The sequence below is a fragment of the Homo sapiens genome, chromosome 17 (assembly GCF_000001405.40).
Source record: "Homo sapiens chromosome 17, GRCh38.p14 Primary Assembly".
Classification (NCBI taxonomy): Eukaryota; Metazoa; Chordata; class Mammalia; order Primates; family Hominidae; genus Homo; species Homo sapiens.
Genome location: NC_000017.11, coordinates 36,529,219 through 36,554,457, shown reverse-complemented (window position 1 = coordinate 36,554,457; position 25,239 = coordinate 36,529,219). Strand labels below are relative to the sequence as shown.

General features: G+C 45.3%; 3 protein-coding genes across 45 annotated transcripts in view, besides 1 other annotated feature; 1 reads left to right on the top strand and 2 right to left on the bottom strand.

Moving 5' to 3' along the window:
- GGNBP2 (gametogenetin binding protein 2) overlaps positions 1-9,539 on the bottom strand; it is a 44,930-nt gene extending 35,391 nt beyond the window's left edge. For 4 of the 7 annotated variants that reach the window (XM_005257689.4, NM_024835.5, XM_011525266.3 and 1 more), the window contains exons 1-2: positions 9,361-9,539; positions 8,641-8,839 (exon numbers count right to left, since the gene is read on the bottom strand). In XM_005257689.4, coding sequence (XP_005257746.1) covers positions 8,641-8,733 — 93 coding nt within the window. In that variant the 5' untranslated portion in view covers positions 8,734-8,839; positions 9,361-9,539. The remainder of the gene's footprint in view (positions 1-8,640; positions 8,840-9,360) is intronic. The other 3 variants (XM_011525265.4, XM_017025107.2, XM_047436775.1) reach the window with 1 other exon arrangement.
- Positions 9,540-9,642: 103 nt separating this feature from the next.
- MYO19 (myosin XIX) overlaps positions 9,643-25,239 on the top strand; it is a 49,180-nt gene continuing 33,583 nt past the window's right edge. For 16 of the 35 annotated variants that reach the window (NM_025109.6, XM_047436840.1, NM_001163735.2 and 13 more), the window contains exons 1-3: positions 19,590-19,697; positions 20,354-20,505; positions 21,777-21,931. In NM_025109.6, coding sequence (NP_079385.2) covers positions 21,920-21,931 — 12 coding nt within the window. In that variant the 5' untranslated portion in view covers positions 19,590-19,697; positions 20,354-20,505; positions 21,777-21,919. Of the gene's footprint in view, positions 11,333-12,292; positions 12,378-19,002; positions 19,209-19,589; positions 19,786-20,353; positions 20,506-21,776; positions 21,932-22,588; positions 22,791-23,390; positions 23,483-25,239 lie in introns of those variants that run through there. The other 19 variants (XM_047436841.1, XM_047436833.1, XM_047436831.1 and 16 more) reach the window with 5 other exon arrangements.
- Positions 15,155-19,471, bottom strand: PIGW (phosphatidylinositol glycan anchor biosynthesis class W). Of its 3 annotated transcripts, none has more exons than NM_178517.5 (2): positions 18,857-19,471; positions 15,155-17,364 (listed from the first exon to the last, which is right to left on the bottom strand). In NM_178517.5, exon 2 carries the CDS (start codon positions 17,354-17,356, stop codon positions 15,842-15,844), a length of 1,515 nt encoding a protein of 504 aa, NP_848612.2. In that variant the 5' UTR covers positions 17,357-17,364; positions 18,857-19,471; the 3' UTR covers positions 15,155-15,841. The 3 variants fall into 3 exon arrangements, with proteins under 3 accessions (NP_848612.2, NP_001333683.1, NP_001333684.1); NM_001346754.2 differs by having other exon boundaries at positions 18,866-19,471; NM_001346755.2 differs by having other exon boundaries at positions 19,404-19,471.
- Positions 20,224-20,899: an enhancer, noted in NCBI's record as "NANOG-H3K27ac-H3K4me1 hESC enhancer chr17:34889386-34890061 (GRCh37/hg19 assembly coordinates)". NCBI's record gives its function as "activates a minimal SCP1, AML or CMV promoter by ChIP-STARR-seq in naive H9 embryonic stem cells {active_cell/tissue: H9 hESC(naive)}" and the evidence as "EXISTENCE:reporter gene assay evidence [ECO:0000049][PMID:30033119]".

Here is a 25,239-nt window from a genome sequence, read left to right as displayed (position 1 = left end):
AGGCAGAGGTTGCAGCGAGCTGAAATCGCACCACTGCACTCCAGCCTGGACAACAAGAGTGAAACTCTGTCAAAAAAAAAAAAAAAAAAAAAAAAAAAAAAAAAATTCAAGTACATAAGACAAGTTTCCATTTTTTTTTTTTTTTTTTTGAGACGGAGTCTTGCTCCGTCACCTAGGCTGGAGTGCGGTGGCATGATTTAAGCTCATCACAACCTCCACCTCCTGGGTTCAAGCAATTCTCCTGCCTCAGCCTCGCGAGTAGCTGGGATTACAGGAACCCACCACCAAGCCCAGCTAATTTTTGTATTTTTAGTAGAGATGGGTTTTCACCATGTTGGCCAGGCTGGTCTCGAACTCCTGACCTCAGCCTCCCAAAGTACTGGGATTACAGTCGTGAGCCACTGTGCCTGGCCAGAACAGTACCTGCCTGGCACATAGTAAATGTTTGCTCTAATTATGAACAAAAAGGGCACATTGATATACTTATTCAATTATCAAAATTCACTACCATAGGAAGGCATATGAAACTTAAGGAGGCTTCACTATGTCACATAATGGGAATGTGTAATTAGTACATTTTACTGATCTGTTGTCACACCACAGATTTTTAGTACCATAGTTATGTATCACTACAAGCCATTTTTACTATAAGATGTCATCAAATTCAAGCAGCATCCTGATTTCAGGTATTAAAATGTGGGGGAAAAAGATATGCCTTCAAAACAATGAAAGTAACACATGTATATCTTAACTAAAACATTGTTAAAGATCAAACATATCGTACTAGGACAAACTATTTCCACATTGCCACATAACAAGGACCACAAACTCCTACAAAATCAAAGAGTGAAGTCAAGAGAAAAACACCGATTTAAGGCAAAAACAAAATATCCCTACCCAGTTGAATGCGATCTTAAAAAGATCACTCCCTTCCCCAACCAGCACCAGAGACCTGCTTCTTTAATAGATGTAACCATTCCTTTCCTTCCATATTAGAGAAATTTAAAACATGTTTGTTCTAACAGCAAAATGAGGCCTCATTAACAGCTAAGTCAAACGTAAGCAATAGATTTAAGAGTTTTTCTTGATAACGGAGGAATATGAGATATATGAAGTACAGAGACAAATAGATACTAAAGGATAGACTATGATGCAAATACTAACATAATCCAGACTGCATGTGCAACACACTTCAAATTTTCAGTGTGTATACTTTATCTTTCAAAAAAGGAAAACATATTAGATGTGGCTATCTCTAGGTAGTAAGACAACTTTTTCTGTATGTGTTCCTATATTTCCCAAATGTATTACAATGCATATATACTATATATTATGGCAGGGGAAGAGTTAATGCTCCTTGCTTCCAATTCTATATTCACTATACCATGTTTAGAGACATGCTTCCATTTCAATAGCTTTTTTTTTTTTTTTTTTTTGAGACAGAGTCTTGTTCTGTCACCCAGGCTGGAGTGCAGTGGCACAATCTCGGCTCACTGCAACCTCCGCCTCCCAGGTTCAACCAATTCTCCTGCCTCAGCCTCCTGAGTAGCTGGGATTACAGGCACCTGCCACCAAACATGGTTAATATTTTGTATTTTTAGTAGAAACAGGGTTTTGCCATGTTGCCCAGGCTGGTTTCAAACTCCGGAGCTCAGGCAATCTGCCTGCCTCGGACTCCCAAAGTGCTGGGATTACAGGCGTGAGTCACCACGCCTGACCCATTTCAATAGCTTTTACCATTCTGAAAGTTTTTTCTTCCATGCATACAGATGAAATGTCCAAATGTCAATTATCCAATTTTCAGGTTTATCAACCCTGACATCTTGTTTCTAGTTTTCCTTCTCAGTCTTATTAATACCTCTAAAGGGGGGTAGCAATAAGTAATAATAAAGACACTTCATGTGTATTAGACATTGTTATAAGCACTTTCATACATTAACTTTATCAACAGCACAAAGCAAAACTGAAGTCAATGGTCTATTTTAATGCTGTAGCTATCAATAATCTGGTGAGGATGACTGAAAAGAGCAAAATATCTAATGAACCATACTGCCTATTGTATTTATTCTAATTAACATGCTCTACTCAAATTTAAAAAAATAATAATAATCCTGGTATTGGAAATCCTGGTCCAGAAAACTATTATAATAAAAGCAATAAAATAGTTAATAGTTCAATTAACTCATATTTTCTGGAATCATCAAAAGGTTTAAGACACACAAAAATTTAACTGTCAAGTCATTAAAAAGGTATAAACTTTTAGAGCCATGTAACTCAACAGAATATTGGAGGTCACTCCAAACCTACCATTTAAGTAACTAATACCTTGATTTATATTTTCATTTGCTTGATACAAATATACACCATTTCACCACATACCAATAGCCGTAATAAAAAATGACAATTATCTATACTGTTTAAAGATCAAAGCTATCAATTTAAGAAACAAAGAATATTCCTTATTTAACCAAATCAAAATCTCTCCAGTCTGGTTCTTAGGCAAAATCCTAAATTCTGACTCAGTATGTATTTATATTCTGATCAACTGTTTTAAAAATTGAAACGGAGATCAAAGAACACATCTAATAATACTGAGACCTGCGAGCTGATTTGTAAAATTTTTTTTTTGAGACAGGGTCTCAACTCTGTTGCCTAGGCTGGAGTGCAGTAGCTCAATCTCGACTCACTGCAGCCTCTGCCTCCCAGGTTCAAGCAATTCTCCCAAGTAGCTGGGATTACAGGCGTACCACCATGCCCAGCTAATTTTTGTATTTTTAGTAGAGACAGGATTTCACCATGTTGGCCAGGCTGGTCCTGAACTCCTGACCTCAGGTGATCCACTCTCCGAGGCCTCCAAAAGTGCTGGGATTACAGGCATGAGCCACCGCGCCCAGCCTAAAATATTTTAATTATATGGATAATACCTGATTTAGGAATTCTTTCTAAGAAGTCAATAAAGAAGCCGGTGGCTCACGCCCGTAATCCCAGCACTTTGGGAGGCCCAGGCGGGTGGATCACCTGAGGTCGTGAGTTCAAGACCAGCCTGACCAACATGGAGAAACCCTGTCTGTACTAAAAATACAAAAAATTAGCCATAGTGGCACATGCCTGTAATCCTAGCTACTTGGGAGGCTGAGACAGGAGAATCACTTGAACCCAGAAGGCGGAGGTTGTGGTGAGCCAAGATCGTGCCATTGCACGCCAGCTTGAGCGACAAGAGCAAAACTCGGTCTCAAAAAAAAAAAAAAGTCAATAAAGAACACGGTTATTTTTAAAAACAAAACTTGTTTCCAATCATTTCATTTTCACCTAATTAGTAGCAAAAATACTAAGATCTAATCTATTTCTATCTTTCCTGGTTTCATCAGCTTGCATACTACTAAATTTTCTCTTGTATTTACTCACTACTCTGGCTGGAGACAATGCACTCAAACTAAATACTCTGTCCTCGCCTTTCAAACACTTAGGACAATGGCTTTTTACCTTACTGTTTTCTGGCCAATCACTATATGCTGTTCAGTGTTTTAAGAGATGAAAATAAAAAGGGGAAGGCAAAGAGGCTAGTAGCACAATTTGTTCTTCATTCTTTAAAACCACTTCCTTAACTTAATCTTGAGATTCTAGGTTACCTAAAGGAAGACAGTCCTGTAAAGTATTTCAGGTGTGGTTTTATAGAGGCATCATTAGCATTCAGCTTCATGAAGAGGTTCCCTACCCATAGCTAGCAACAAATAGAACAAGTCATTGTGCTGCAATTACTGCTTTATAAAGTTTATTGAATCAATTACCCACTTTCACTCTTAAGTATCTGTTCTGGTTTCTCCTGACCACAAAAAAAACCTGTTTTTAGCGCATTCTCACAAGTTCTAACCAACAATATACTAAGTTTGCATTTATTAAAATCACTGTCATTTTGGTTTTACTCCACACAGCTATTTGTAACATCTATCACCCTCAGTAAAATTAACTGTTAAAAGTTGAAAGAAAACATTAAATGCTAACTTTTAACAATTACAAAACATCTAATTCCCAAGTGGATATGCCACCATTTATCATTTTTTTAAAGTGTAAGACATTAAGAACTCTTACCAGATTAATGCTGTACATGCAAACAAGAACAAAAAGAAAAAAAAAACAAAACCCCAAACTCTTATCAGAGTAGTCTATTTAGATTGGTTTAAATTAGGAGAGTAAACTGCAATGCAGAAATGTAACAATCTGGCCGGGCGCATTGGCTCACGCCTGTAATCCCACCACTTTGGGAGGCCGAGGCAGGCAGATCACTTGAGGTCAGGAGTTCGAGACCAGCCTGGCCAAAATGGTGACGCCTCGTCTCTACTAAAAATACAAAAACTAGCCGGGCATGGTGGCGGGCGCCTGTAATCCCAGCTACTCAGGAGGTTGAGGCCCAAGAATCACCTGAACCTGGAAGGCGGAGGTTGCAGTGAGCCAAGATCACACCACTGCACTCCAGCCTAGGTGACACAGTGAGACTCCATCTCGAAAAAAAAAAAAAGAAATATCATAGCAATCTGACAATATGTACCTGGAACTTTACAAAAGGTTCTTATCCTTTGATCCAACCAGTAATTCCACTTCCAAAAGCCTGAGAAAACATTTTAATGCAAAGATTTTTGCATTATTTATGTTCTTACAGTTTATTCATAGCAAAAACTAGAACAACCTCCATGTCCAACAGTGGAAAAATAATTACAGAATGTCATACAACGGAATATTACACAGCCATTAAAAATGTTTAAGAATGACAAGAAAAAATGTTTTCAAAATTACATTTAGTGAAATAAATAAGGACAAAAAGTTACAGAATATATTAACTGTATCTGTGTGTCTAGGACTGAAATTACACCAAATGTGCTTATCCCTGAGAAGCATGACTAAGGGTAATTTGTTTTGTAGTTATTTTTCAAGATTTTAGAAGGAATATATATTTTGGCCGGGTGTGGTGGCTCACACCTGTAATCCCAGCACTTTGGGAGGCCGAGGCGGACAGATGACCTGAGGTCAGGAGTTCAAGACCAGCCTGGCCAACATAGGGAAACCCCCATCTCTTCTAAAAATACAAAAAAATTAGCTGGGCGTGGTGACACGCACTTGTAATCCCAGCTACTCAGGAGGCTGAGGCAGGAGAATCACTTGAGCCTGAGAGGCAGAGGTTGCAGTGAGCCAAGATCAGGCCACTGTACTCCAGCCTGGGCGACAGAGCGAGACTGTGTCTCAAAAAAAAAAAAACTTTAATTCTTCAGATTTCTCTAAAATCAAATATGTATTCTATCTGTTATTTTATAATTGTAGTAACACTGAACAACATTTTAGCCAGAGTATAAAACTTTCTTAAATATTTCACCATTCCACCAACTTATTTGGAATTTTCTCAAGTACACCTACATCAGCCCTATCCTATACTCAGGTGTTCAAACTCACTGAACTACCATGGGAATCTTCTAAACATGGACACAACATATCACATAAAAGAAGAGGCTATTTTTTTTTTTGAAACGGAGTTTCACTTTGTCTCCCAGGCTGGAGTGCAGTGGCGCAATCTTGGCTCACTGCAACCTCCGCCTCTGGGGGTTCAATCAATTCTCTTGCCTCAGTCTCATCAGTAGCTGGGTCTACAGGCACACTCTACCACACCCACTGATTTTTTTGTATTTCAGTAGAGACAGGTTTTTACCACATTGCCCAGGCTGGTCTCAAACTCCTGAGCTCAGGCAATCTGCCAGCCTCGGCCTCCCAAAGTGCTAGGATTACAGGCATGAGCCACAGCACCGGGCCTAAGGCTACTTTTTTTTTTTTTTTTTTTTTTTTTTTTTTTTTTTTTGAGACAGAGTCTTGCTCTTGTTGCCCAGGCTGGAGTGCAGTGGTGCGATCTCGGCTCACCGCAACCTCCACCTCCCGGGTTCATAGGATTCTCCTGCCTCAGCCTCCTGAGTAGCTGGGATTACAGGCACCCACCACTATGTCTGGCTAATTTTTGTATTTTTAGTAGAGACGGGGTTTTGCCATGTTGGCCAGGCTGGTCTTGAATTCCTGACCTCCAGTAATCCACCTGCCTCAGCCTCCCAAAGTGCTGGGATTACAAGCGTGAGCCACCAAACCCAGCCTAAGGCTACTTCTTTACATACAAGTTTGTTAATTTCATTTTACAAGTCCAAATTACAACTGCCAGTTTAACTAAGGGTAAAGTTTCAGCATCCCAACTAAAATGATAAAGTCTGCAACTGCCTGTAAACATTGTAACTATATTGCAACATTTAGCTACTATCAAAATCCTAAGACTACTATTTGAAATAAGTTCAAACAATGTTTCCTCAGTGCATTACCTACAGACCCTAGGGACAAAGACAAAACCTAAGGTTAACTTCAGGCATCCACTGCCATCTATCAAAGGAACAATGCAGAGCATAAAACTCTGATAGGGGCATCTTCCTTCCCTCTTCCCTTTTCCCCTTCTCTCCCAACAGGTGTTTTGCTCTGCATTCTCCCTTTCAGTAGTATTTGGTAGAATATCCTGAAAGAAACTTGTTTCCCTTGACAAGAATTTTCACTAACATTCACTCACAGCATTCAATGACTGTGCAGAAGTCCCAGCACAAATAAATGTCTCACTCATTCCTTTGTGATAAAAACCCATTCTGAAGCAAAGAAAAACTGCACCTTTTCCTAAATGTTATTTTGAGATATTTAAATTAAGTGAGCTTAAGTTTTATTTGCCTTAGTCACAAGTCCACAGTACAATAAAAGCAAAATTCAACCGCCAGATACAGTGCAAAGTAAGTTCCATACTAAACCACATTGCAAGGTTACATCTTTTTCAGTGGAAAATTTTGGAAAGTCACATCATTGTGGAGAGAATACAGTATAAAAGCACTTAAAAAGTTGGCCATTTTAAAGTGCTATATGACAGATGTATTAATGTGCTGCATTCACAAAGGTGGTTATGTGAATATACCAAGAACTAGTGTCTTTTGAAGACTATTTATGTTGGTTTTCCCTATGTTTTGATATGTTTTCCTATGTTATGATTATTCATTAAATAATAATCTTATATCCAAACTCACTGAATTTTTTTTTTTAACTCCACAGCCATTGTGGGACAATAAACCTTAAAGGCTGATATCATAACTATATGCTTCAGAAAAGTGTTTATGTTAGCAGGGGAGAGAAGAAAGAAAATATCAACAAATGAATCCCTATCTGAAGTCCAAACTGAGAAATGCATTATTTAATATGATCACAGTGCTAGTTTCAACTATTTAAAAATACAAGTCCATTATACTTCTAATGCAAAAAGTACAGAAATCATAATCAAGACACACAATTTCTAATGCATCAACACTATTTACTTTATGTCAGAACAAATCATTCTACCTTTTTTCATGAAAAATAAATGCACTTGAATAATTAGAAATGCTGTCACTTAAAAACTTCTAATAAATTAAGTCATTCAATAGCTCTTCTAATCCTTTTTAAAGTACTGCAGCTCAATCAAGTCTTAATTGAGACTGGCAAGCATAAAGGCATAGACTGGCATCTCTACAATGACTTGCATTTTACATAAAATTTGAAAAAACTTCGGTAGATATTTGCAAAAAAAAATATTGAGGAACAAAACTGATCAACTGCCTTTGATAGCAAAAGAATACTGATGAGATGAAGAGACTTAGGTGCACCTTATCGAAATAAGCAAATGTATAATCCAAAGCTTCAGCATCATCAAAACGCAGATTTCAAAAGATATTCGGAAAAGGTTAATTTCATTTCTTAAGTGGCAAGCAACTGCACTCATTTCCTGTTCAGATTCAATTCAAATTTCAGCCATTTCCTTTTAAAGGAAACAGTACAGCAACATAGGGCAGAGGGTCGATAATGCTACACTACCAAATCTAAAGAATAAAGTACCCGGAACTGGGTCTTGACACTCAAGATGAGCAATCAGCTTTTTATAGTACTCTTACACATTCAATAATTTGGCTTCCTTTAAAAAAAAAAAAGTCCACCTGTAAACTAAATAATGCGAAGAAAGCCCGTTTTGAAGAAAGGGCCTAGCAATACAATCATTTCAAGAGTTTTAATGCATTAGGCAATACGAGACTATTTACAACGAAATCAAACCATTTTAGTGGAATCTTGACTGTGCACGAGCATGTCACTCTGCCCCCAGTAATTAAGCTTATGTGGTGAGAGCTACCAGTATTAAAACAGAAAATACACAGGTAGCAGTGCAGCTGCGACATTACCAGGTAATTAAGCCTCCCCGAGGGTAGGTGGTTTCTGTATGGGGTAGGCCCTAAACGCCCAAGATCCTTCAACCCCTCTCTGAGATGTGTGCTTTGACAAAAGCAGCGTCTCCTAAAGGGAAAGGGTCAAGGAATAAGGTTCCAAAAGAAGGAAAATCTGGAGAGAGGGAGTGCGTACGGAGCTCTGGGCTTGGGGCCGACAGAGGTTACCGAGCCACCCACTGCAAAGGCGAGTTTGTGGGGCCTGCTGAAGAGAAGGCCTCGCCTAGGAGTTGCAACACACTCTTTCTCCAGTGCGCAGCGCTCGGCCTGGGGGAGGGGGAGGAGGGGAAACAGCTGCCAGGGGAGCGGCGGGCCCAGCCCGGCCCGGCCCGCTCACCGTCAGGGTGTCGTCTATGTAGAGGGGAATCTGCCTCCTCTCGAAGGGGAACTCCTCCTCCCCGTCCCTGCACACTGCCACGAGTCGCGCCATCGTCCCCGACGCTGCCGTTGCCACCGTCACCACCTCCTCCCAGCTGCCGCCGCCGCCGCCGCTGCTGTTTCTGCCGCCGCCGCTGCCGCCTCCTCCCAGCTCCTGCCTGCAACAGCCAAACCCCGCGAGCGTAAGCACCCGCCGCTGCGCAGCACATTCGCCACGGGGGGCAGGGAGCGGAGCGGGAGGGTACGGGAGAGCCGGGCTGCGTTTCCCATCACCCGATTCCACACACGCTCAGCCAATCAGCGCCCAGCGCCGCCGGGACCCGCCCCCCTCGCGCCGCGCTCCCTCCCTCTCTCCCGCCCGCCCGCCCGCCCGCCGGCCTCCAGTCAGGGTCCAAAGGAGAGGCGGAAGGGACCGGCCTGCCGGGGGCTTCCCCGCCCGCTGCAGGAGTCCCGGCCCCAGGACCCCACCCCTGGCCTGGGCCCCGCAGCCTGTTCCCCGCCGCCCGCCGCCCGGGTGCCCTCTGCCCCCAACTGACCCCTTCTCCCCGCTTCTGGGCGCACCCCGCCCAGTCGGCCCCAGGACTGCAGTTGCCCAGCGCGACCCCGCCCCTGGGAGGGATCGACCCCGCAGCGGCTCTGCGGAGTCCAGGGAACGGGGAGGCTCAGACCCTTTCCTCACCCTTCTCGGAGGAGGCTGTCGGTTCCGACCTTCACCGTTTTCGTGGTCGCCTCGCTAACTCCCACCTCTGCTCCCTGTTACTGGCTGACGAGGCCCGCGTCAGGGCCGGCGTGGGCGGGAGCGCAGCTCCGAATGTCGTTTCCTCTACGGGCAGTCAGCCGCTCGCGCCGCGGGGAGTGGAAGAAGGAGGGCGGGGGACGAGGGGAAGGTGGGGCCGGGCGGGGTCGGGCGCCGGGCGGGACCCACGTCCTCTCGCGAGACTGGGGCTGGCCGCGCTGGGGACCCCGCTGGAGAAATTTGCGCCCAGAGGGTGCGGGGCCGCCCTGGCCGTCCCGCCCGTGGGCCCGGCGCCCTTCTCGGAGCCCAGCCATTCCGCTAGACCCGAACTAGGACTGGTAGGAGGGGTGATCGGCCCAACCTCAGGCCCCAGCCGCGGGCCGGGAAGGCTTCCCCACGGACGAGGGGCAAGCCCCTCGACGTCAGGGTGTCGTCTATGTAGAGGGGAATCTGCCTCCTCTCAAAGGGGAATTCTTTCAGCGAGTCAAGCCCGTCTGATTCGGGGCTGACTCAGGGCAGAGGCCCAGAGAGGACCTGGATAGGTTGCGAGAAGTCGAGATCAGAGGGGGCGGAAGGCAGTGAGAAAAGGGAGACGAGCATCGGGGGGTGAGAGACAAACTCAGGTCTGGCTCTTGGCCCTTGACGCCACTGAATTCGCTTCCCACGGTGGGAAGAGGAGAAAAGGGCCCTGACACCGCGGCTCGCCAGGGGCCCGCTGCGTAGCTGCATCCCGATCCCGCTGAGGGGACAGCAAATAGTGAAGTGCTGATAGCTTGTGGTTGTCGTTACACTGGAAGGAAATAGAAAACCGGACAGTGGTGTGTGTGTGTGCGTCTTGGCCAAAGGAACTTCTTGGGCTGGGTTAATGTGAGCAGGTACTCCCTTGGGCGAAGTACTGGCACTGGCCAACGGCCTTTCCCTCTGGCCGTCTCCGAGGAAGCAGAGCTGCTGTGAAGACAGTTCCTCTCGCCACCGTGTGTTCAGTTCTGACCTTGAAGGTTTTGGAGGTCTGTTGTGAAGATATTTAGCCTATGAAAGTCCTGGTGATCTGAAGGACAGATCAATTTACTGCTCTATTTCCTGGAGCTGTGATACCTTTAAAAAAAGTATTTTGGGTCGGGCATGGTGGCTCACGCCTGTAATCCCAGCACTTTGGGAGGCCGAGGTGGGTGGATCACCTGAGGGTCAGGAGTTTGAGACCAGCCTGACCAATATGATGAAACCCCCGTCTCTACTAAAAATACAAAAATTAGCCGGGCGTGGTGGCATGTACCTGTAATCCCAGCTACTAGGGAGGCTGAGACGGGACAATCACTTGAACCCGGGAGGCGGAGGTTGCAGTGAGCCCAGATCGCGCCATTGCACTGCAGCCTGGGCAACAAGAGCGAAACTCCATCTCAAAACAAAATAAAGTATTTTGGTTATCACATGGAGTCTTAGAGATTCACAACAAATAACCCATAGTGCACCCTTAGCCATGTTGACTTAGTACATTGTGTGGTCATTGTTAGGGTCGGTGACATAATAAACGAAGAACCATTGTTCATTCCCGAAGGTGTCATTACCCGGCAAATATTTATGTCTTCTGGGCCGGGGTCATGGCTCACGCCGGTAATCCCAGCACTTTAGGAGGCGAGGTGGGTGGATTACTTGAGGTCAGGAGTTCGAGACTGGCCTGACCAACATGGTGAAACCCAGTCTCTACTAAAAATACAAAATTAGCCGAGCGTGGTGGCGCACGCCTGTTATCCCAGCTACTCGGGAGGCTGAGGCAAGAGAATCGCTTGAACCCGGGAGGCAGAGGTTGCAATGATCCGAGATCGCGCCATTGTGCTCCGGCCTGGGCGACGAGTGAAACTACGTCTCAAAAAAAAATTTTTTTTATGTCTTCTGGCCATGTTAGCAGAGTAGAAGAGTGAGTATTAGCTTGAATCTAATACGTATGTATGATGTTCATATACATAGCCAAAATTTGGACATTTTTAGAGAATCTTGCGTTTTATGTAAAAAACAAAACAAAAACCAGGACGGGGGCGGCGGCTAACACCTGTAATCCCAAGACTTTGGGAGGCCAAGGCGGGCGGGTCACTTGAGGTCAGGAGTTCGAGACGAGCCTGGGCAACATGGAGAAAACCTGTCTCTACTAAAAATACAAAAATCAGCTGGGCGTGGTGGCGAGCACTTTTAATTCCAGCTACTCCGGAGGCTGAGGCAGAAGAATCGCTTGAACCGGGAAGGCGGAAGTTGCAGTGAGCCAAGATACTGTGGCCTTCAGTATCTAGAGGTGCTCCTACAGTGGTACATCAATTAATGTACCCACTTTAAACCTTTTTTTTTTTTTTGAGACGGAGTCTCACTCTGTCGCCCAGGCTGGAGTGCAGTGGCGCTATCTCGGCTCACTGCAAGCTCCGCCTCCCGGGTTCATGCCATTCTCCTGCCTCAGCCTCCCGAGTAGCTGGGACTACAGGCGCCTGCCACCACGCCCAGCTAATTTTTTGTGTTTTTATTAGAGACGGGGTTTCATCGTGTCAGCCAGGATGGTCTTGATCTCCTGACCTCTTGATCCGCCCGCCTCGGCCTCCCAAAGTGCTGGGATTACAGGCGTGAGCCAACGTGCCCAGCCTAAACCTTTTAGACTTCATTAGGATTCTGGTTGGTAAAGAACATTAAAAATGACAAGCTCATTATATAGGTGCTAATTTTAATTACTTTGACTACTGAACACACGCCAGGTACTAACAAAGAAGGGAGTATTCACCCTGGGGATTTAAATCTGTGAAAAGGTATTAAAACATATATAAAACATAATAAAATGAAATCCCAAAGGTCTCTTTCCATCTGAGCTTACTTTCCCTAATTTGGGTTTGTCTCTTAGGTCCACCGGGCATACTTAGTATCTTTGGACAAATAGGAATTCAATGAAAACGTATTCTTAAAGGCGAAAAAGGTGGATTTGCTAGGTAAGTTGCTGTTTCTCAAGGAGGTAGCCTGGGTGCTATAAATCCAATCCAATCTAATCTAATCTAATACCATACAATATAATACAATCGATACAATAAAATCAATATCCCAAGGAAAACGCTTAGAAAATTATTTCATGGCAAAATAATTTTTCAAAGTTTTCACTGTGCATCTTCCTGGTTTTAGAGTAGGCACTTATTTTTATTTTCACTATTGCTCTATTTTTAGCCATAACCACCAGTACTGCAGCAAATACTTCTTGAGAATTATCCTATGTACTTTAAAATGAAAAGTATCTGCTTTTAGAGAGCAAACCTCTAATTGACGAAATATATAATTGCTACATTAAAAGACAGTTGTCTGTTGCCTATTATTTCATTTTGATATTGGCATTGTGAAATGCAAGTTCAAAGGATTTGAAAGGCCAGGAAAGTAAAGGCAATCAACAGCAGAACACATTTTGCTGGTACCTAATAAAGAACAGTTGGAGGGACGGAGCTGTAATAAATTATCAGCAAACTACCATTCTTTTTCTTAGGTCCAAATGTGTGAGACGCTAGCCACAAAATGCAGGCATAAATGAGATCTATCTGTTCTCCAGGCTACCTAGGTTTAAAAAAAATGAAAAGTACCAAGGTATTCCTTATTATGTCTTAGCTTCATAGACTATATTTAAACTCCTAGGGAGGAACATAAGGTTCTTGTATGATTTATATAAATACATTGGACATTTATGCTCAATAAAAATAAAACTGGTTGTCATCTTCGGCACACAAGAGCTACTGGGGCACGTGTAGTAGACATCCCCAGTTTATAATTGTGTAAAATTAAAATTGGCCGGGTGCGGTGGCTCGCACCTGTAATCCCAGCACTTTGGGAGGCCGAGGCAGGCGGATCACGAGGTCAGGAGATCCAGACCATCTTGGCTAACGGTGAAACCCCGTCTCTAATAAAAATACAAAAAATCAGCCGGGTGTGGTGGCGGGCACCTGTAGTCCCAGCTACTCGGGAGGCAGAGGCAGGAGATCGTGCCACTGCACTCTAGCCTGGGTAACAGAGCAAGACTGCGCCTCAAAAAAAAAAAATTAAAATTATGGGAGTCACTTTCTGAAGGGCATAGATAGGCTGAGGTCCTGGACAGATTATGTTCTTCTTACTCCTCACTTTGTTATCTTTCCCTCTCCTCTGCCCTCAAAAATTGATAGTTGCAAGGAAAATGATAGTTGATTAGAAGACTTTTTGTTGTTTCATTATAATAACCACAGTTTTATGTGGTAAGACAATCTATGGCCACAGAATGTTATTTAAATTACCATAGTGACCTAAACCTGAGGATCTGTGGATTGGGTTTTCTTTTTCATGAGCTGACACTGGGAAGTTCTGTTTTATCTGTCAAAAATAAACACACCTGGTTGGGTGCGGTGGCTCATGCCTATATCCCAGCACTTTGGGAGACCAAGGTGGGCGGATCACTTGAGGACAGGAGTTCGAGACTGGCCTGGCCAACATGGTAAAACCTCATCTCTACTAAAAATACAAAAATTAGCCAGGCGAAGTGGCGTGTGCCTGTAATCCCAGCTCCTCGGGAGGCTGAGGCAGAAGAATTGCTTGAATCTGGGAGGCGGAGGTTGTAGTGAACCAAGACTGTGCCACTGCACTCCAGCCTGGGAGACAGAGCAAGACTCCATCTCAAAAAAAAAAAAAAAAGACAGTAGAATATTAAACGTCATTATAGGCCAGGATCACGACGCCTGTAATCCCAGCACTTTGGGAGGCTGTGATGGGAGGATCACGTGAAGCCAGGAATTTGAGACCAGCCTGGGCAACCCCATCTCTATTTTTTACAGATTTAAATTAAACCTTAATTTAGCCATAGTTTTATTAAATTACACTGGGTACTTGATGACTCTCATCTTTCTTATTGGTTCTCCTTTCCCTTAGCATGGTAGGTGAGGATGCCTGATGTGGCCCCTGCCTGCCTCTCCAGCTCTCTGCCCATGCTCTTCCTTCTTCTGTGTTCAGCCTTCTTTCAATTCCATTATGTGCTTGGTGCCCTCCCAACGTAGGACTTTTGCTGAGGGAGTCATCCATCTATAATGTTCTCTGCCATTTGCCCCCCAGCCCCCAGACACATAAGACTTTATAACTCCTCATCCCACTAATCAGCTCTAGCTCAAAAAAAAAAAAAAATCTGTGGGGAAAACTTGACTCCTTACTAGGTCAGTTCTTGATTTGACACTCTTGACAACCTATGCTTTTTCTTCATAACTTAGCATTTCACAATAGATGTTTAATGTCTGTTTCCTCCACTAGATTGCAAGCTCTGAGGTATCAGGAAATTTGTGCTGTGCTTCTTAAATCCCTAGCATAGGGTAGGCTAAAAGATGAATTAATCCCAAAGCAAAACTTTGTCTCGTAATTATTATGTGTATAAGCTATAATATAACATCCAATTCAGTCTATTTTTTTTTTTGTAGACAGGGTCTCACTGTTTCCCAGGATGGTCTTGAACTCCTGGGCCCAAGCAATCCTCCCACCTCAGCCTCCCAAAGTGCTAGGATTACAGGCGTGAGTCACCATGCCCAGCCTTCCATCTATTCTTTGGTGCATTTAACTGTCTGACTTCATAGTATATAAGTATTTTATTTTTAAAATTTTTCTTTTTATATCCACCCATCTGCACATTGGAGTGTTTGATTTTAAACACTTGCTTCTTAGTCCTAGGTTTTATTCAAAAATTTAAATTGAGCAATAAACAAGTATTGACAATCCACAGTTCACACTGAAATGTCAACATAAACATTTCATTTTATATTTATTGTAAAAGCAATATACAGTAAAAATACAGAATAGCATAAGGTTACATTAAGATGGAAAGTAAAAATTTTCCTCCCCCCACCCCAACAGTCTTTCAATGTCACAACTATAAAGTTTCTTTAAAATACTACTTAATACATTCTAACAAGTCAAAAGGCTTTGTTTCTTCTTGGTTTTATTGTTGAGATACATTAAAATATTAAGCATTGGCCCAGTGTGGTGGCTCACACCTGTAATCCCAGCACTTTGGGAGGCCAAGGTGGGTGTTATCACTTGAGTTCAGGAGTTTGAGACCAGCCTGGCCAATATGGCAAAACCCCATCTCTACTAAAAATATAAAAATTAGCTGGGCATGGTGGTACATGCCTACAGTGCCAGCTACTCAGGAGGCTGAGGCAGGAGAATTGCTTGAACCCGGGAGGTGGAGGTTGCAGTGAGCTGAGATGGCACCACTACACTCCAGCCTGGGTAACAGAGCAAGACTCTGTCTCAAAAAAAAAAATAATTAAGCATCACTGCTGTTTAGATGACTGAAACTATTTTATAATAAAATATGGTTAACACTGTTGCCAAAAGCACAATTTCTTTACAATTAATATTCCTCATTAAATATTGCCCAAATACTTATATATCCTACTCCTGCTGATCACCAAAATTGTACAGTCTTATCTTGCAAATATAGTACATATACAATTAAACAGTTGGAAAACATATAGAGATTGACCACAAATAAGGCCCACAAGGTACTGCTGTGTAATGTATCTACCATCAGGTTGATCAGGCCAGTTGTTATATTTGACAGCAAGAAAAATATTAACTGTTTTCTGTTTAGAGCTGTGATTAAACAAAGACTGGGTTCCATTCTTTCGGCTTCAGGGACTAGAGATTCTGAATGCTTTTTATTTGTAACAGGTGACTGGATAAGTTTCCAAGAACATGGTACTAGAGCTCCTTTAATTAGAAATTTGGCAAAACTCAAAATTATATCACCCAGTAATAAACTACTAAGAAGGATCAGGCTAGAAGCAACTATCCAAATACAAAAGGCTAAATTTGCCATTCTTCGAGATACTGCTTCTACATTTACTTGAACTACGTAAAGAGATATGAAGAGGCTAATAGCTGCCAGTAAAAGAAAACAGGCTACTTTTATCAAGTCTTTGATATGTGATCGGTTCTTATGCATATATAACCCTGTTTGCACACCAGCCATGTGTATTGCCACATACCCCAGGGTAGAGATTATTCCTTCGCGGTTGGCATTTAATAGACCAACCCGTGTGCCACTACCATCAGTGCCATATAATATTAACCTCTTCAGTGAGGTAAAGTCAAGGGCTAGCTGGTATAATACAGTAATGCCGAGGGCAATAATCCAGGACTTATTTAGGGGAAAAATAATCAACAGCAGTGGTGTTATCAATTTCACAACTATTATGGTAAAGAAAAAGTTCCAGTGAACTCCATACTCTGTTAAATGTTCCTGATAGCCTATTGATTTTATAATGGCTAATCGTCCGATTCCTAGGAAGACTAATGGCCAAACAGAGTACAATGAGTTTGTAAAGTAATGCAATTTGGACCCTTCCATATATTTTCTCCTCCTGACCTCTAGACAAACCATTGCAGACCCAAAAACAAAGCCACCTACTCCAAAATCCATTGCTCCTGTCCCATAGAGCTCAGTTTTGGCAAATCTTCTGGGAAAAAGTGGGAAGTCCACAGCCAAAATAGCAATAGCAGTAAACGCACTGGTAATTACACGGAAACAGGAGATGGCTGGATTGTATTCTGATTCTAGACTGATGTTCAAGAATTTTTCAAGGATTTTTAGGAAAGGCAGTCTGGCATAGCAGGTCCTCCTTCGGTATATTTGATACAACAGCCCTGCCCCAAAGATAATTACACCGAGAAGCTCAAGGAGGATAAATGAAGCCCAAATGGTCAAAGTGGCTACCATGGGAACTATTAGGACAACAAAGTCAGTGAGGAATCTAGTTTTCCAGGTAGGTGAAAAAGAACACAAGTACTGTGAGAAAATGATCAGGAACCCTCTGCACAGGATACAGAATGCAGGAAAGCACAATCCCTGGGTGATTTCCAGCACGGTGGTTCCATTGAGGTTACTGACAAAAGCTTCCTTCATCTGCTTTTCAGACATTTTTCTTCCTGTGAAAACAAGAGCAAAGGAATGGATTTGTGAAAAGCAGCATTCTTGTGTAATTAGCATACCTGGCTTAATTTTACTCTTATTACTAGATTTCAGAGCAGAACTTTGGGCCCTAATGAGTTCACCTAGGATTTGTGATTCCCCTTCCAAGGATTGTGGGAAGAAGCTTAACACTAATGTGTTCAGATAGAAATGTCATACTAATAATATTAAATTATTGGTTACAAAGCTTCAGCTATTCCCTGTACAAGACAGACTCACAAAGAAAGTGAATTTGGGGCCAGGCGTGGTGGCTCACACCTGTAATCCTAGCACTTCGGGAGGCCGAGGTGGGAGGATCACCTGAGGTCAGGAGTTCGAGACCAGCCTGGTCAACATGGTGAAAGCCCGTCTCTACTAAAAATACAAAAATTAGCCAGGCGTGATGGCACCCGCCTGTAATCCCAGCTACTTTAGAGGCTGAGGCAGGAGAATCGGTTGAACCGGGGAAGCAGAGGTTGGAGTGAGCCATTGCACTCCAGCCTGGGCCACAGAGTGAGACTCCATCTCAAAAAAAAAAAAAAAAAAAGGAAAAGAAAAAGCAAAGGAAAAGAGAGCGAATTTGGGATATAAACTCTGAGAATGGCATCATAGGCAGATGGGAATTTCTATTATGGAGCACAGTACGTATCATGAAGATTCTTTGATGCAAATTGAATAGGATTTACTAATGACCTTAAAGCAAATTCAAACGCTAGGGGCCAAGTACATTTTGAAGTTGGGGGCCTTGGTTCCAGTTCAGAGCCTCTCCAAACCTACTGCCTTGGTACAAAACGTGACCCCTGCAGTGATTTCTGGATCCCCAGGCTGCTCCTTTCCTCATTTACAGACAGCTATGTTTTCAGGTTAGGATGGAAGTAGGTACGGTGGGTGCATTAAGAATGGATGTATAGCACATACTAGTGTTAGTTGCTCTTTTATTAAGGGTTGTAAAACACCTCTGAATGCCACACATCATTGTCTGAAAAACGGCATACTGGAAGAACACATTTGTTGGTTAAACATGAACCTAGAGTTTCTAAATGTACCATGAGCTGAATAAGTAAGTGAATGCATGCGTGCATTATGGCCTGTCTGGAACCTGTGACAATATCTCACAGTAACCAACTCAAATCAGTTGACCATTAAAAATAAAAGTCCTAGCCGAGAGAAGTGGTTCATGCCTGCAATCCTAGCGCTTTGGGAGGAGAGAGGATCGCTTAAGGCCAGGAGTGAAAAAAAAAAAAAGAAAAATTAAAAATTAGCTGAGCGTGGTGGTGCGCGCCTGTAATGCCAGGCTGAGGCGGGAGGATCGCTTGAGCCCAGAGGTGGAAGGCAGCAGTGAGCCGAGATCGCGCCACTGCACTCCTACCTGGGCGACAGAGCGAGACTCCGTCTCTTAAAAAATAAACATAAAAATAAAAAGTCTTTTTCCTAACAGACGCCCGACCTGGCCGCGCCCTACCCGTATACCTCACGTACTCCAAATGGTGCCGGCGCCCCCAGCAGACGGTCTACGTGGGAAGGGCAGCCGGACTGCCGCTGCACCCGCCAAACCACGCGGGAACCAGCCGCTTCCGCCTCCCGCGCGGCACTTCCGGCCGACGCAGGCAGCTGGCACTTCCGGGCCGGCCGATTCCGCGCGTCTCCGCCCATCATGGCGCTCGTGCCAGTGTCCCGTGGGCTACCCACTCCTGTCATGTCCTTTGGGCTGGTGCAGGCCAGATCTTCTAGGGCCGTAGCCCTGAGAGGAGCGCCTGGAGAGGAAACGGCGCGCCATGCACCTCACACGGCCCCTCAGACCTCACGGCGAGGCCCTATCAGGGTAATGGTGTCCGCCGGCCTCGCACAACACTCCGCCGCACTCGCACAAGACTCCGCCGCGGCGACCTCTACTGAAAGACCCCCAGTCCTGGTGTCGCCCGAAGGCCCAGGAAACCGTGCTTCCGCGCTTCTCCCCCAGAACGTGGGAAGCTGCCGCTTTACCCTCATTTTACCCCAGGGTCGCAAAACATCTCACCGTAGTTGAAGCCAGCAAGCCGGACCAGGCGTCCCGGCCAAGCCACGTGCGCGCCCCGCGCCGCGAGTGCTCGCCCCGCCCCTAGGGAGGAGCCGGCCGACCCCCGGCCACTTAGCAGTGCCGCAGCCGACGGGGTGCGGTTCGGCGCTCCCAGGTTCCTTTCCTCACTGCACGCTCTTGCCCCTCCTCTTTTCTCTCCTGCCCGTGTTCTTCCCGCCGCCTGACCTGGCCCGCCCGCCTTTCCAGTCTGGCCGGGCGGGGGCCTGAAGCACGGCGGCTCGGGCCGTGGGACCGGTGAGTGTCAACCCGAACCTATATCTGAAGCCCTTCAGACGCGGAAGGGGCTTGGGAGGCCAGTTTGCCCCGCAGCGGTGAGGAAGAAGTAGGCGTCTCCACCTCCCCTTCCAAAGCGCCGTTTCCCTCCTTTTTGCCTTTTCCTTTTGACCCTCTTGTGTCTCACGAGGGGGTAGCCCAGCTCTTGGCTCTTGCTTGAAACAAGTCTTTCTTGATCACCCTCCACCTTTCCACCTGGCCGGCAGGGGGCGGCCTGGGGGGAGAGGGTCCTTGCTCCACTCTTCGCCCAGCTGAGGACCCCGGGAGGGGGCGGCTGGTCCCGGGAGGTGTCAGGGCAGCTGCGCCCTTGGCTGGGGTCACGTCCACCTTCCTGGGAAGGACATACTCTCCCCGTGCCAGGTGCTTCCGGAACGGCATCCCAGCCCTGGGTTTGCGGCACGACGCCCGGACCTTGAGTCCCCGGTTCCCGCCGGGAACCTGGGGGCGGAGCCAGCTGGACTGATGAGATCCTTACCCAGCGCTTCTCAGCGTCTGCCCTCCCACTGTCCTCCATGCCTAGAAAGAAACAGTCTGAGAAGGAGGGACTGGTGATCAGGTTGCCACTTGCCTTGATTCGGTGTTCCATTTACTCATTACCGTCTCCTTTCTGCCCACAGTGTTCACACCCTTTCCAGAAATTCTTGGCTGGTAACCGCGAAACCGACTGGAGCAGGAGCTGGGAGAACTGGAGAAAACTGCTCTAATCTCACTTGACTCCAGCTAGGAGCTGATGCTGCATCGTAATAACATTTGCAGAGCGCTTTCACAGGTATTAGCCCCTTTAACGCTTCATTTAGCCCCGTGAGATCTGGATATTATCACTCCGTTTTGTAAACGAGGAAACAGAGTGAGGCTTAGTTCTTGGGTTCTGTGCCAGGGGCCTTGGGTTTTGGATTCAAACCCCAAACCTGTTGTGCTGCCCCTCTGGACCTATTGCTTGAGATGAGTTCCCAGTTGAAAGAGCTTTGTTCTCTGGAGCCCTCTGCATGGCTGTCCCTTGGATGGGGTACAGTCAGTGTCCAGGGTCAGGATCTTTTAGGGCTGTAGCACCACACCTTAAGTGGTCCAGCACGGTCCTGATACCTGTTTCCGCCTCAATTGTCCTTTTTCCAGCTTCTATGGAAGTCCCTATCCCTGGGTTCTTTAAAGACTTGATGTATTCAGAGCCTCAAGAAAGTCTCCACCAGGGTTAATCCATTGCAGGCACGCTTCACCCTCAGCCTCATCTCTCCTTGCTAGGGGTGGTGCCAAGGCCTAGAAAATTCCAAGTCTGAGGGTCACTTAACCATTCTTCAAAGATTGGCTTAGGCCCAGCCTCACAACACCCCACCTCCCAGATGGATTCATCTCCCTGAAATCCTCACCTTCTTGAAGTTGACACTGGACCGTTCACCTGATTAGCGCTCCCAAATGGATCATCAACCCTTAGTCGTAGTGCTAACAGTGTTTATCCTCTGAGTGAATACTCAGATTCGTACTTTGTGTGGTGCTGTCAAACCATGACCTCATTGACCTTCACAACCACTCCTTATGAGGCAGATTTAACTGTCCCCATTTTCAAGGTAAGAAATTGAGGTAGGTGATGTGCCTGACCCAGGATCACACACCCAGTGAGTGATTGAACTGTGATATAAACTACCACACCACACCTTTCCTGGAGCAGCGAGAGATGACTCCAGCCTCTCCTCCTCACCAACGACTGAAATAGGATATTTCTGTCTAATGTAGAGGATAGGGCACAAGGCTTCTCTGTCTCCCCAGTGTCTTACTCCTCCTCCATGGCACACTGACCCAGAGGGTTTGCAGCCCCACCCCAACCCAAACCCTAACCCTGTAATAAAACTGGCCCAGGGAGCCTCTGAGGCTCTCATAAAAGTTTCCCTGTCTCCTAATTGGCAAGGGAAAGGACAGGCCCACTCTCCGCCCAGGCCTGCCTTGCATCTCATTTTGGTTGCTTCTGCTAGGTGGGAAGGAGTGAGTGAGTCACTCCAGAAAAGCCCTCACCTGTGTGTGGTCCTTGTCTTCTCTCTCATGCCACAGGCGCTGGAGTGACTTGTCTGAGATTCCTCCAGAACTGAGCCCTTTGTTGGAACCATACCCCAGCCCATGGTCCCATGACTAGGTGGATAGTACTCCTTGTACCTCCTGCAACCCAGAACCCTGGCTGACCACTTTGAAGGAGGATGCTCCAGCAGGTAAAACCTCAACCTTAGATAACCCAGGCCCTCAAGCACCTGCAGCATCTGTTGCTAGCCCTAACCTGGAAGGAAGGGAAAGCCCCCTTAAAGGTCTCTTTTCTCTCCTCAAATTGTCTCTCCAGTGCCTTTTACTCATCATCAAGAAACTCTTCCTGATACCTAATTTGAATCTGTCTTGTGGTTTTTAGCTCCTTTCTTTGGGATAGGTAAGGTGGGATGGGTAAGGGAATCCTTAGGGCACTTTGGGGATTCTGCAGAGGAAGTCCTGAGAGATGTCCCTGCCACCTGAATTGTTGAGGCATAGTAGAAGCCTGGGGCTTCCAAGAGGATGTGTTCCTTGAAGCTAAGCCTTAAAGAACTAGAAAGAATTAGCCACTTGGAGAAGGAAAATAAGCACTCCAGGCAAAGAGGTCAGCCTGTGCAGAAATGTAGGAGACTATGAGGAAATATAGAAGGATTCTAATGAGTGGATCATGGGTTACATGATCCCCATGTCTCTGCCTCTCTGAAAAGGCTACTGTTGCCCCAGGCCTGTAGGATTCCAAATCACCTTTTACAGCGGAGCTCTCTCTCATACCCATATCATCCTTCATGTGTAACTCTTGGTCCTGAGAGAGTGCCAGTACTTATTTGCTGACTTTTTATTTTACCAAGTGTTGCCAGGCACTGGGCTGAGGCAGATGTTGAGGTTGGTGCTTGCCCTCAAGGAGCTCAGAGTCTAGTGGAGTCTTGGGTAGGTAAGTGCCTGACATCAGCAAGGTAGCAGCCAGGTGTGGGGCCTGCCAGCATCAAGGGAGCCATAGTAGACACTGCAGCTTGACCTTCCAGCCATATGGCTCCTGGAACAGGTTTGAAGGTAAGAAGTGGGCAAAACAGTTGACTGCTCTGGGCTTTTTTCTTGCTTATTTTTAAACTTTTTTTTTCTCTTATTAAAAAAAAGGTATATCAATACAATGGAATAAAGCAAGTTACACAAAAATATAATACTTTTCAATGTTTTTAAAGTATGTAGGGGAAAAAACCTATGATATTCTCTAAAATATTGGTTATTTCTGGGTAGTATGATTATGGATTTTTATGCTCCTTTTGCTTATCTCTATTTTCCAATTTTTTTTTTTTTTTTTTTTTTGAGATGGAGTCTCACCCTGTCATCCAGGCTGGAGTGTAGTGGCTTGATCTTGGCTCACTGCAATCTCTGCCTCCCAGGTTCATGCTATTCTCCTGCCTCAGCCTCCCGAGTAGTTGGGACTACTGGTGCTGGCCACCACGCCTGGCTAATTTTTTGTATTTTTTAGTAGAGATGGGGTTTCACCGTGTTAGCCAGGATGGTCTCGATCTCCTGACCTCGTGATCCACCCACCTCGGCCTCCCAAAGTGCTGGGACTACAGGCGTGAGCCACCGCGCCCAGCCTCCAAATTTTTTTTAATAATTTTTGTTTATTTATTTTTATTTTAGAGATGGAGTCTCACTCTGTAGACAAGGCTGGTCTCAAACTCCTGACCTCAAGTGATCCGTCTGCCTCAGCCTCCCAAAGTGCTTTTACAGGGGTGAGCCACCGCACCCAGCCGTGAGACCCTGTCTCTTAAATAAATAAATAAATAAGGCCAGGCACGGTGGCTCATGCCTGTAATCCCAATACTTTGGGAGGTCGAGGCGGGCAGATCACCTGAGGCCAGGAGTTCAAGACCAGTCTGGCCAACATGGCAAAACCCCATTTCTACTAAAAATACAAAAACTAGCCAGGTATGGTGGTGCATGCCTGTGATCCCAGTTACTTGGGTGGCTGAGGCATGAGAATCACTTGAACCTGGGAGACAGTGGTTGCAGTGAGCCGAGATTGTGCCACTGCACTCCAGCCTGGGCGATAGAGCGAGACTCTGTGTCAAAAAAAAAAAAAAATACAAAAGCCACTTTTACGCGTGCCTGTAGTCCCAGCTACACAGGAGGCTGAGGCAGGAGAATGGCGTGAACCCGGGAGGCGGAGCTTGCAGTGAGTCGAGATCGCGCCACTGCACTCCAGCCTGGGCGACAGAGCGAAACTCCGTCTCAAAAAAAAAAAAAAAAAAAAAAAGCCACTTTTAGAAGAAGAATAGCTAACCCCTTTTGGCAGATTCCAGATGGCCTTTCTAAATCCTTCGTGTGTTTTTGTGCTTGTGAGTATCTGTGAGGTAGGTACCATTATCCCATTTTACAGAAAAGAACTTTAAATAATTATTTAGAGACAGGGTCTCACTTTGTTGCCCAGTGCAGTGATATCCCCATAGCTCACTGTAGCCTCGACCTCCTGGGCTGAAGCAACCCTCCTGCCTCAGCCTCTAGAATAGCTGGGGTTACAGGCACATGCCATAATGCCCAGCTAATTTTTAAATATTTTTTATAGAGACAGGGTCACCTTGGCCTCCCTAAGTGCTGGGATTACAGGCTTAAGCCACTATGGCCAGCTGGAAATTTTTCTATTTTTATTTTTTACTTTAGAGACAAGGTCTTGCTCTGTTGGCCAGGCTAGAGTGCAGCGGTACAATCATAACTCATTGCAGCCTCGAACTTTTAGGCCCAAGTGGTTCTTCTACCTAAGCCTCCCAAGTAGCTGGGATTACAGGGACCAGATGAGGAGAATTGAGGCAGAAAGAGATTAAGAAATTAACATAAGAGTATATAACTGTAAGAGATAGAGTCAGGATTCAGAGCCAGACAACTAACTTTCAAGTCCAGGTACTTGATCACTATACTCAGATGCCTCTCTGGTTGGATCAGAACTCTTCATAAATTGTGTCTGTGTTTGTGAATGGTTTGTGTAGTGGTGGTTTTTTTTTCCCCTTCATAAAAGGAGAGGGATATGCATAGATATAGCTGTGCTCTGACCTCCGCAGTTACTCTGGAGGCCAAGAGCCTACCTTGTGCATTATAGTGGGCCCAAAGTTCAGAGAACAGGCAACAGTTTTGGAAGAAATGCATTACTGGGCCTCTTGGAGGAAATTTGCCACCATGGCTTATTTCTATGAGAGATTTGAAATTTTAGGCTCACCATTCTCATTGGAAATTCACCTGTTGTATCACAGACCTCTTCCTTCAAAAGCACATTTCAGCAAGATACCTGTCTTCAACCCCCACTCTGTCTTTCCTGCATCCCCAAAGGAGACAGTAGGAGAAATGGGACCACAGGAGGAAGTGGAGGGATGATACATCAAGAATGGGCAAAGGAAGATAGGGTGACTCATGCCTCTAGTCCCAATTACTCAGGAAGCTGAGGCAGAAGGATCACTTGAGCTCAGGAGTTGGAGGCTGCAGTGAGATATGATCATGC

Coding starts and splice junctions, on each gene's coding strand:
- PIGW (NM_178517.5), bottom strand. CDS start 17,356: ATGTCTGAAAAGCAGATGAAGGAAGCTTTTGTCAGTAACCTCAATGGA.